Raw genomic sequence first — 12,218 nt, 5'->3', positions numbered from 1 at the left:
TCTGGAGGTTTCTAGCAGACTCCAAGGCTGCCCAGGCACTGCTCAGAGCCTGTAGTGAGCGGGACTCAGCTGCACTTCCAGCTGCGGGGCCACCCTCTCTTCCACGGCTGAGCACTGAGTCGGGTTCCACAGGGACTCCTCTAAGGCACTGAGGCTCTGCCTGCCTCCAACCCTCTCCTCCTCTTTTGCCTTCACCAGCAGTCTCTCCCCTGTGCGTCTCCTGCACTGGGAATTCTGCCTTGGGGTCTGCTCCCTGGAGGACCTGAGCCTGCACAGCCCCTGGCCCGGCCTCCCTGATGCCCCCTGAGTGGCTGCAGGACCCTCTTTCTGATGCAGCTCCCACCCCTGAGGCCGCAGGCTCTCTGTCACCTGGAGAATCCCTCAGGCCCACGGAGCCCGACAGGTGCTGGCCCGACAGCCTTGCCCACGGGGCTCCCACCCCCATCCTCCAGCCAGACGCAGCCTCTCCTGACATCTGGGCTCGGTGTTGCCTACCGCCCTGGGGAGGCTGCTTCCTGGGCTTGAAAACCTTCCCAGTGCCATTGGCCACATCGGACCACAGGGGAAACCCAGACACCACACCCTCCTGGCGGGAGTTGGCCTGATCCCTTCTCTTCCCAGCACCGGGCTGCCCTCGGAATTTCCCACAGTGCTTCTTACAAGCCCAAGTATGAGGCCAGATCACAGTGTTTAATGCAGCTTCCGTCTCCCCATGGACAGGCCGGCCTGACATTCCTCCCTGTCTGTTTTCTCTGCAACCCTCAACGGCACTCAACACAAAACCACCCAGTGAACACATGTCCATTCCTGAATCCGTCTCACATTGTGTTTCTTGGCCTCAGATATGTAATTTTCAAGAATAGTCATGTTATAAGTGTAGCTGTGATCAATATCACACTTCGGAAGATTAGTGTTTTCATTTTACAGCATCAAGGTACACAGTGAGTCTCCGTTACACTCTTCTGCCTGTGAGGGGAGCTCCACTAACCACGGCCAGGCCAGAACTGGGGTGGGGGACTGGGAGGAGCTAACGACAGAGGGAGGTGTGTGAGTGTGTTTGTGTCTGCATATGTCTATATGTGTGTGTGTCTGTGTGTGTGTCTGCATATGCGTATGTCTATGTGTGTCTGTGTGTCTGCGTATGTCTATATGTGTGTCTGTGTGTATGCATGTGTGTATCTGTGTGCATATGTGTGCATGTGGTGCTTATGTGTGTGTCTGTATGTGTGCATTTGTCTATGTATGTGCATGTATGTGCATGTCTGTGTTTGTGCATGTGTGTCTATCTAATGTGTGTCTCTGTGTGTGTCTGTGTGTGTCTATGTGCATGTATCTGTGTATTCCTGTGTGTGTATATCTGTGTGTATCTGTTTGCATGTGTACCTATGTACATGTAGTGTGTATGTGTGTCTATCTGTGTGTGTCTGTGTATGTCTGTATCCATGTATGCATGTATATATGTGTGTGTCTGTGTGTCTATATCTATGTATGTCTGTATGCAGGTATGTGTGTGTATCTGTGTGTGCTGTGTACGTCTCTGTGTCTATCTGTGTGTGTCTGTGTGTATCTGTGTCTCTGTGTGTGTCTGTATGCATGTATGTGTGTGTATCTGTGTGTGCCGTGTGTACGTCTCCATGTCTGTGTGTGTCTGTGTGTCTATATCTATGTATGTCTGTATGCATGTATGTGTGTGTATCTGTGTGTGCCGTGTGTACGTCTCTGTGTCTATCTGTGTGTGTCTGTGTGTCTATATCTATGTATGTCTGTATGCATGTATGTGTGTGTATCTGTGTGCATGTGTAAGTCTCTGTGTCAATCTGTGTGTGTCTATGTGTGTGAGCTATGTGTGTGTCTCTGTGTCTATCTGTGTGTGTGTGTGTGTGCTTGCACCTCAGTGGGCTGGGGAAGGAGTGGGGGGCCAAGGCCTGCTCTGATTTCTGAGCTGTGTCACATGGCTTGGGCTGCCTTGCCTTTCCCCGTTGGCTCCAGAGGGTGAACCAGAAGGGAGTCAGCTTGTCACAAGTACCATTGATGTCGATGTAGGGGGAAAACTCTCTCGATTTTTCTGGGGCTTTTCCAGGTTTAGTCTTGTGCTCTGGGGATCCCTGCAAGTCTCGGGCAATCCGGGGTGGTGGTTGGAGGCTTTGGAAGGTACTGCTTCTCCTGGGACATCTTCCAGAAATCTTTTCCCTTCAGAGGTTTGCATTCCTCCTTTCCATCCAGCACCGAGGGGCCTGGTGTTGGAATGGAGGGTTCCTTGGGCCCTGATGGAATTCCTTGAAATGGGTGGAACAAATCAGTTTGCCAACAGCAGAGTTGGGGCCAGGCCGCGGTAGCAGAAGTGGGTGTGCCCTTCCTTAAGCCCCTCTGGCGGAGCTGAGTAGAGCAGTGGCTGTCTGTCTCTCCCTTCTCCTTCTTTTCTCCTGAGCAGCTCCCACATTCTTCTTGTCTTCCCGGTGCCCCTGTAGAGCTGCCTGCTGGGCCATTGTGTTTTGCTGTGGAGCTACCCACTGGGCCATTTTTTTTCTGAATCAGACGGCTGGTCCCTGAGACAGGGAAAAGTTCTGCATTTGTGGGTAGCCAACAATCACCCATCCTTGAGTTGACTTACCACACATTTTGGAAGCACAAACTCTGTTTTAGGGGCTGTGCTAGTTTCTGGGGGTGCAAAGATGAGTGAGGTATCTGCCTTCCCTTGAGGGACTCGGTCTGGTGAGGGATGCGGTGCTGCACCAGACACATGGCCCGTATGATACAAAAGTGCCACTAGACACATGAACGAGAAAATGGGCAGCAACTCCTTTTGCCTGGGGAGCTGGAGAAGACTCAAAAAGGGGAGAGGATAAATGAGTTGGGTTCTGAAGGATTAATAGGAGTTGACCAGATGAAGGCAAAGAGGAAAATAAAGGACAGCTCATATGAAGGTGCCAGCTAATGATGCAGTTCTGGACTATCCCATTTAAATAAGTCAACTTTGTCCCATCATGGCCTAGTTAGCACAGAAAAATGCCTCCAGCTGCCGTGAGCATTGAAGGCACACTGGGTTGACTCACCGTGAAGAAGTCACAGAGTGTCACGTGTGGGAAGACCTCATGAGCTCTGTTCTTTGCACACTGGCGCTTGCTCTCTCTCCAGAACTCTTGAAGTTTTTCCAGCAGGGGCCCCGTTGGACAGAGGAAAAGGGCATACTCCTGGGGGATGGGGTCGTCTAGGGAAGGGTCATTGCAATGATCATGCAGCCTGCAACAGAGAGCAAGCCGGCATCACCCACTGTCACAACAAAAAGAGTTTTCCCCTTTGAGGATACACAACAGAATGACAATGACAGCAATGCAGAATTATAGGGCACACTGAAGACATCATATATGCTCATGACATAAATTAATCTCACAGCCATCCTACTGGTGGGAGGCACTGCGGCACAGCTGTGTGTGGCACAGACCTGGTCAGTGTAAGTCCTGCTCTCAGACCCACCTTAGTCTGATTCCAAAGTCAAAGGTAGAAAAAATGAAAGAAAGTTGACAGCAAGACCTAAAACCTGGTCTTCCAATGATCCGTGGGCCCAGCATCTCCTTGATGGTGTGGGAAAATTTTGTGGAAAAACCTCACATTTGTATTTTACCTCAAACTTCAAATTACATATAAAAACCAAAACCAAAAACCTAGACAAAATTTAGGTAGCTGCTGCGTTTCTTTAGATTCAGACAGTTTTTATTTTATTTTATTTTATTTTATTTTATTTTATTTTATTTTATTTTATTTTATTTTATTTTATTTTTGAGATGGAGTCTTTCTCTGTCACCCAGGCTGGAGTGCAGTGGCACAATCTCAGCTCACTGCAACCTCCACCTCTCCGGTTCAAGCAATTTTCCTGCCTCAGCCTCCTGACTGGCTGGGATTTCAGGCAGACAGTTATTTTAAATTAAAGGAAAAACGACGGATGACCCAACATAGGAGTTCATTGTCACTAACAATAAAAATGGAAATAAAATAGCTCCGAGACGGCATTTTTCTCATCTGTCAAGTTCACAAAGATTTTTTCAATAAAAAGGATAAAAGTTCTGCTCAATGTGTAAAAGATGCAGCAGGACTTAAGGACAGACCTTTCAACTTTTATGTGAAGCAATTTGCCAATAGGTATTGAGAGTCTTAAAATGCCCACACTCTTTGCATTAATAATTCTACTTCCAGAAATTTCTCCCGAGGAAAGAGCACAAAGTACTGTATAGGCAAAACTTTGCACATGAACCATCTATTTAGGGCTATTTAGAAGAAAGTTAGAAGGTTATTTAGGGTTATTTAGAAGAAAGAAGAAAAACTCCATAACTGATAGCAAATCTATTTACCGTGCATTCATTAGAAATCATGGTTTGGAAGAATTTCTAATTACTCAGCAAAGTGCCTGTGATATAATTTTCAATTTAGAAAGTAGTATTCAATCACTAGAGGAAACAGAACTTACGCAAGACCATATTCTCTTCAATAAAAATCACAGAAGAAGTTGCCACTCCTCTCCATCGTGGTTCCCACCCTCCCCCTTTCCAGGGTTCACCCAGAGGGTGAAGCTGCTTTGCCTTCTCCCAGAAATTTAAGTAACGGACTTATAGATAGCACTTGTTTTACATAAATCATAAGCTGTTATTCAAATTATTCTACAACTGGCATTTTTCCTCTACCATGTCTTTTCAATTAATCCCTGTTGATACACACGTGTCTAGTGAAGTTTGTCAGCGCGAATTTGTTAAAGGCTGTGTAATAGTTCATGTATACATATACAATGTTGCACTTGTTCATTCCCGCATTGATGAACATCTAAATTATTTTATTTTAAAACCATTTCATAACCCTGCAATCAAGATCTTTGTACATGTCTCTTTAGGCTCCTTGCATTTCTCCAGGGAATCTGCTTAGACGCACGACGGAGGCTGGTGGGCTGTGCATATTGCCAAGGTTGGCAGATACCCAGCACTGCCTTCCTCAGTGACACCAGTGACGTGTGAGGCCCTGCTTCCCTCACCCTCATCAACACTTGGAGTTACCTTGTTTGCTCTAATGATATCTTAATTTGCACCACCTCCCTGGTTACTAGTGAGAGGTTGGGGTGCTCTTGACAGTCTAGGGGACCCCATTGCCTCCCTATTTTTTGGTGGGGTTCCTAGTCTTATTGACTGGGTTGCAGTGGGCAGGTGCTGGCCATGCCCTTCACAGCAGTGGGCTTGTTTCTGATCCAAAATTGGCAACTGGCTTTAGTGGACTCTGTGAAGGGGTTGCCCATTTTGCCCGTGGCCTACACTTTCTGGAGGAGGAGGGGGCATCCCATTGGGAACACTGCACGTTCAGAGACCCAGGATCAGTATCTGCCCTCCTGCTTTGGAGAGGACACTCCAGCCTCCCAGGACCTGGTTTTTATTGTTTGATTTTCCCCGTGGCTATCTCAGGGCAGAGGATGAAGGACTCCCCACAGCACATCCGGGTAGGAGAGGGTTTTAGAGAAACGGTGGCCCTCCTCTCCATCCCCAGAGCAGAGAACAGGCCCATGGCAGTGGGTGGCTTGAAGAATCACTCACGCAGCTGGTACCTGGTGAGGTCACCTCAAATCAGAGCCCTCACCCGACCCACACACCTGGCACCCTTAGACCCACACACCTGGCTTCATGACCACCAGTAAACTCCCTTCCCCTCAGAGGCAGCCCGAGAGCATGGTGGCCGCTAGTCTCTATCAGCAAAGATGTCAATTATGTCTCAAATCTTTCCATCAATAAACACAAACATCCTCCTATCTATCTCAATCTTATCCATCGTAGTAGGCAGTTGAGGAGGACATAATCAAACACAAGTATGCAAAATCCCAGCCTGCTCTTCAATTACTGAAATAGGCTGAATATTAGCAGTACTAATATAAACCCAAATGTTACCATTTTTAACCTAATTACTTTATTCTAACAATTACCCTCATTTACGTGCTTATCACAACACAACAATCATGTCTTCCCCATTTACTCAACAAAGCACATGAACCTGTTCTTCTTGGCAGTCAAATTGGATTGAATCAGGTTTGTAAGTGAAGAAAGCCTTGTTCAGAGTTCTCTCTTTCTCTTTCCATGGTTAACCAAAGCCCTGTGCCCCTCCCTCAGTGCACTATGGGTAGGCAGGGAGGTTATTTTGTTTCACTTCCGCAGTGGCCCCATCCCACCCAGAGGCGCCCGGCTCTTCCTGGTATCAGCCCTGGTGGGAGGGAGTCCTTAGGCACAGGGAATTCAGCCCAAACGCCCCTGGGTCTACAGAAGCAGCTGCACTCACCAGGCCAAGGCCTCCTCCGCCGTCTTCCTCCCCGTGGCTGCCAACGCTTTCAGCCTGCAGAAGAGCAGACACAGACACAAAGTCACGTCGCCCATTCTTGGGAAAAGGGTCAGAGAGGCAGGGTGTGGCCTTGCACACCCAGGATCTTTGGGGGGTGCTCTGAAGAGGGCCTGATGCTGAACTTCCAGCTGGAAGTTCTAGCGCCTGTCCCCTGAGTGCTGCCATCGTGGTTTTGGACAATGCTGACCAGCTCACACCTCCCCCTCACTGTCCTTCCCTGGCTACCCGCTTCAGCCCTTGGCACGGGGTCTCAGGGCTGAGGACCTGACCTCCGCCCGCTCCTGCAATCCCTCTCCCTGGCCTGCCCCCCCCCCCCCCACTGCCTAGATCAAATGGACCCACCCTGCGGAACGTGCCCCTGGCTCGGACACACGCTTTCCTCACCCCAGCATCAGCGACCCTGATCCCCAGGCTCGCCTCCCACACCTCTCTGCTGGGAAACAGCCCTTTCCAAAGCACCCAGGCAGGCACTTGTTACGGCTTACACAGTCCCCTTGCACCCACGGCTCTCCCCTGCTAGACCAAGAACTCCCTGAACACAGGACTGAGTCTTATTCATCACGGTAACCCGGGACGTAAGTACATTGCATTGAATTGGGCAGAACTGGACCAAATGAAACAGAATGGAATATAGCAAAGGTAATTTATCAGGAATGCAGACTGGAAACAGCGGGCGTCCATGAGGAACCCACCACATGATGCCGAATGCTGCTATTTGGGTGGGCACCGATGGGGCTGTGGCCACCTGGAGAGGTTTGAACAAGGCAGCCTTGGTGCAGGGCACTTACTATGAGGTGCTCTGGTGTGGGGAAATTAACACACATTTCTCTTCCTCCAACATGTGCTTAATGTTTAAACTGGAAGGAATTTTGAGTAGAAGTCCATGCTATACGTTTAGTAGTAAAATCCAGCGTGGACTCCTTCAAAGGCATGGAAAGCTGGTTCGGGTTCCACCTCCGCCACTAATGCACTCTCTGGGCCCAGTGTCCTGCCTGCACTGGGTGGTGAGCAGTGGACAAAAGCTGCCTTGTCTGTAATGCCTGGACGGTGCCCGGTGGCCGCCCTGCACATGCCTGACCCCACTCCCCATTCAAAGGCCCCTGGCTTAGCTTGAACATAACAGTGACGACAAAGCCCTGATTTGGGGAGAAGAAATGGGTTTGTCTAGCTTCAGAGTTACTTCACCCAATTTGGCCAAGCTTTTGTTATAGTGTGGAAGGAAAGTTTAGCTCCTTCCCCAACCCAAAGTTACCTAAAGTGTGTTTCTGATACATTTTTCCATGTGAAAAAATGAATGGGTCAGATTTAAAGTGTGTTTCTGATACATTTTTCCATGTGAAAAAATGAATGGGTCAGATTTAAGGCACTGGTTTGCCATGAAAGCTGTAACCCAATGTTGGTGTCGTGGCCTCCCTCTCCGAGAGTGGTAACTCTGAAGGCTAAGCTCTTCCACATGCAGGCCTTTCCCTTGGGTAAGCAGGGTCGCGCTCACACTGTGTCTGAAGTTTCCTACCCATTTGTTTCGTTATCAGACACTCAAGGGATTGTCTCTGAGGACAAGTGACTTTCCCCGGGCAGCGTGGAAGCACAGCCCTGCTGACAGTTGGTCCCAGTGTTAGAGACTCAGCGGGCTTTGGGGCCTTTCACGTTAGAGTTTGAATATCTTGAAACGCCACTTTCAGAGTCACTGAGCTGCACACAAAGAGATTACAACCAGGCCCCAATCTCCTCCAAACCCCCAAAATGGGGCACCCAGAGTAATACATGGCTTCTGATTTTCACAAATTTCAGGGTCCCCCAGTCAGCCAGCCGAGCTGGTCTTTAAAAGGTCAAGAATATCAGGGGTATTCTTGTGCCTCCCTGGGCCACACATAAAATACGCTAACACTAATAATAGCTAATGAGCTAAAAAAAAAATCTCATAATATTTTAAGAAAGTTTACCAATTTGTGTTGGGCAGCCAACACAAATTGAACAGGGCAGCCTTAGGAGGCTGAGGTGGGATGATGGCTTAAGCCCAAAGCTGTCCTGGGCCTCATGTGGGTTGGACAAGCTTGGTCAAGATCACCTCATTTACGAGAAGCAGAAGAGGGCCCTGTGAAGAGGCAGTGTCTTACCCTGCAAGGTGCACTGCTTTGGCAGGAAGCCGTACCCTACACCCCTGCAGCTCCATGCCGGGGGCCGCAGCAGGGTCTGGCACCAGCCTTACTGGCTGGGCCCCGGGGTCTCTGGGCAGTACTCACGCGGTGTGCACCGGGAAGCCCATGGCCAGGAGGGGCTCCAGGAGCGAGGGGCTGCTGCGGCTCTTGAGCTTGTTGGAGACCTTGGCGTAGAGCTGCGTCTCCCCCGCTGCCATCTCTTCCTGCCCTTAGGCCAAGAAGCTCGCCTGCACACAGAAATGAGGAGATAAAGCAAGAGGGGGAGAGGCAAGGCTGAGGCTGTGAAGAAAAACCTCAAGCTCTTTTTGATCTTTCTGACAAAAGTTGATATCCTGTTTGCATGAGATATCAGTTTTCAGAATTCTGTTTGCAGGATGCTGGGTGCAGCGTCCACCAATCCTAACTGTTTCCACCACGGGAGTTTGAGGCTAAAGGTCCAACCGAGCCCCTGCACGGGATCAGCCTCTGTAGGGACTTGGCTAGTATTCGGGAGCAAGAATGCGTGAGAGCATGGGGGAAGGAAGCGGAGGAGAAGTCAGGGAATGAGTTCCCTCCTGGATCCTGCTGGCCCCCTGCCCTGACCCACCCTGGATCCCAGTCTCCTTGTCTGTGAACAAGACATTAAACCCCACTCTATCTATTGTCTCGGATTGCTGGAAAACTTACTGGTTCTTTCAGTCATTCATTGACTTGTTTTTTTATTTTAAAAACTTTAAAAGCTTTATATGTGTACAGAAAAGTTGATGAATCATATGTGTATAGCTCAAGGAATTTCCATAAATGAGCCCACACCCCTAATTCCCCCACGACCCAAAATCAAACAGGGCAACCAGGGGAATTTTGTACCTCCTCCACCCAAGGGGACATTTGGAAATGTCTGGAGACATTTTTGTTTCCAAAATGAGGCGGGGGTGGTGGTGGGTGGGGTGGACATCGTGGTACCGGCACTAGTGGGTAGAGGCCGGGAATGTCACAGTGCCCAGGACAGTCTCCCCAACAAAATTTCACTAGTGCCAAGGTGGAGATAGCCTGCTCTGGAACATTCTCAGAACCTCAGATGCACCTCTGCCCCCAGCTCAGCCTCCTCCAGTTATCTCCTCCCTCCCCCAGAAAGTAAACTGCTGTATCACTTGTATATGAATTGTGCCTGTGGTTGAGCCTTATGTAAATAGAACCATATAGCATATTCTCTATCATATCTCATTTCTTTTTCCTCAAATTATGCCTGTAAAATTTATCCACATTATTGCTTGTAGCCACAGTTAGTTCACTGTTATTGCTGTGTAGTATTTGATTAATAAATATACCAGCCAGGCGTGGTGGCTCACGCCTGTAATCCCAGCACTTTGGGACTTTGGGAGGCCAAGGGGGGGGTGGATCACCTGAGGTCAGGAGTTCGAGACCAGCCTGGCCAACATGTTGAAACCCTGTCTCTACTAAAAAATACAAAAATTAGTTGGGCATGGTGGTGCATGCCTGTAATCCCAGCTACTCAGGAGGGTGAAGCAGGAGAATCATTTGAACCCAGGAGGTGGAGGTTACAGTGAGCAAAGATTGCATCACTGCACTCCAGCCTGGGACAGAGTGAGACTCCAGCTCAAAAATAAATAAATAAAATAAATATAACATAATTCATTTATCCATTTCTCTGTTGATATGCATTCAGGAAGTTTTCGGTTGTTTTGCTATTGTAACTAATGTTGCTGAGGACGTTCTTGTATGTGTCTTTGAGTGCCTTGTGCATGCATTTCTGTTAGGTGTGCATCTAGGAGTGGGGTTGTTGGATCACAGAGCACGTGAAACTCCATTAGGAACTGCCAAGCAGTTGTACAAAGCTCTATATCCTCATGCACACTTAATATTATCAGTCCCTAATTTTAGCCACTCTGTGGTGGGGGTGGTGTGTAGTTGTATCTCCCTGTGGTTCCCATTTGTATTTCCCTGAGGGATAATGATATTGGGCACCATTTCACAGGCTTATTGCCCATTTGAATATCCTCTCTGGGGAAGTTCCTGTTCAGATATTCTGCTCTTTTTTTTTTTTCACTAGGGTGTTTGCTTTTCTTATCAATTTGTGGGAACTCTGGTTAGAGTTTTCTGCATCCTGTTCAAGAGATTGTTGTTAATCCAACATCGATGAAGATCATCTATGTTTTGTTCTAGAAGTTTTGCTACTTTTGCTCTTCATATTTAGCTCTATGATCCATTTGAATTCATTCTGTGTATGGTGTGAGGTAGGGGTAAACTTTCATCTACTTCCGCATTGAAAGGGCTATCCTTTGCCCAGTGAATTGCAGTAGGAGGCTTATTGTAAATCAAGTGACTGTATATGGATTAGTTTTTTCTAACTTGTGTGCTCTCTTGTTTGATTTGTCCCTCTTTGTGCCCATTCTACACTGTTTTAATCACTATAGTGCTAAACCCTCTGGTTTTGTCCTTTGCTTTTTCATAAACATTTACAAATCAGGTTGCCATGGTGTGTCATAGTGTGTCATTGGGTAGTGCAAAAAGATTCACACCTACAATCAATTGATTTTCAACAAGGATGCCAATGAAATTCAATGGGGGAAGGATAATGCTTTTGATAAATGGTGCTAGAGGCTCAGCCCATAATCTCAGCAGTTTGGGAGGCCAAAGTGGGAGGATCACTTGGGCCCAGGAGTTTGAGATCAGCCAGGGCAGCAGAGTGAGACTCCGTCTCTTAAAAAAAAAAAAAAAAAAGACATGGTGGCATTAGTTCCAGCTACTCAGGAGGCTGAAGTGGGATGATGGCTTAAGCCCAAGAAATCGAGGCTGCAATGAGCTGTGATTGCATCACTGCATTCCAGCCTGGGTGACAGAATGAGACCCTGTCTGAAAAAAAAAAAAAAAAAAATTAGTGCTAGGAAAACTGCATATTGGTAGGAGGAAAAACGAACCTCAACCCTTACCTCACATTATATACAAAAATTAACTCAAAATGTAAATGCTAAAACTATAAAACTCCTTAAGAAAACCTAGAAAAAAAATGTTTGCTATGTTGGAGTTTGCAAAACTTTCTTAGGACATAAAGCGAATAAACCAACAAAAGAAAAAGTTGATGAACTGTACTTCACCAAAGTTGAAAACTTCTGCTCTTTGAAAGACATCTTAAAGAGTATAATAAGGTGAACCACAGACTGGGAGAAAGTATCACTATACATATAGCTGACAAAGGACTTGTTTCTAGAATATACAGAATATTTTATATATACTTATAACAAATAATAAGAAAACAAGCATCTATTTTAAGAATGGGCAAAGTATCAAAAAAGATACTTTTAAAAAGAAGATATATACATAGACATGAAAAGATGCTCAACATCATTAGTCATCAGGGAAATGCAAATTAAAACCGCAATGTGATTCCACAGCACACCCACCAGAAGAGCTAAAATGGAAAATACCAGGTTTACACAAGGCTGGGGAGTAACAGGAGCTCTCACACTGTGCTGGTGGGAATGCGTAACTGTCCAACCACTTTGGGGAACATTTGGAGGGTTTCTTATAAAGGTAAATATACATGAAAACGTGTGTCCACACAAAGATTGGTCTATGAATGTTCATGGCAGCTCTACGCATAATAGTTCCTTCTATTTTTTTTGCCTTTATTGCACTGACTTGGAACCCAAGTCAAATGTTGAACAGATGTGGTACTAGTGCACCTTCTTGTATAACTCT

At 47.2% G+C, this 12,218-nt stretch overlaps 1 protein-coding gene across 13 annotated transcripts in view; it reads right to left on the bottom strand.

Moving 5' to 3' along the window:
- Positions 1-8,760, bottom strand: part of UBASH3A (ubiquitin associated and SH3 domain containing A) — a 43,783-nt gene extending 35,023 nt beyond the window's left edge. For all 13 annotated transcript variants that reach the window (XR_007067789.1, XM_047440831.1, NM_018961.4 and 10 more), the window contains exons 1-3: positions 8,604-8,760; positions 6,301-6,354; positions 3,054-3,240 (exon numbers count right to left, since the gene is read on the bottom strand). Coding sequence is in view for 12 of the 13 variants with exons in the window: in XM_047440831.1 (XP_047296787.1) it covers positions 3,054-3,240; positions 6,301-6,354; positions 8,604-8,716 (354 nt within the window). In the remaining variant the exon portion in view is untranslated. The remainder of the gene's footprint in view (positions 1-3,053; positions 3,241-6,300; positions 6,355-8,603) is intronic.

The sequence above is a fragment of the Homo sapiens genome, chromosome 21 (assembly GCF_000001405.40).
Source record: "Homo sapiens chromosome 21, GRCh38.p14 Primary Assembly".
In the NCBI taxonomy this organism is placed as follows: domain Eukaryota; kingdom Metazoa; phylum Chordata; class Mammalia; order Primates; family Hominidae; genus Homo; species Homo sapiens.
This window is presented reverse-complemented; position numbering and strand designations above follow the sequence as displayed.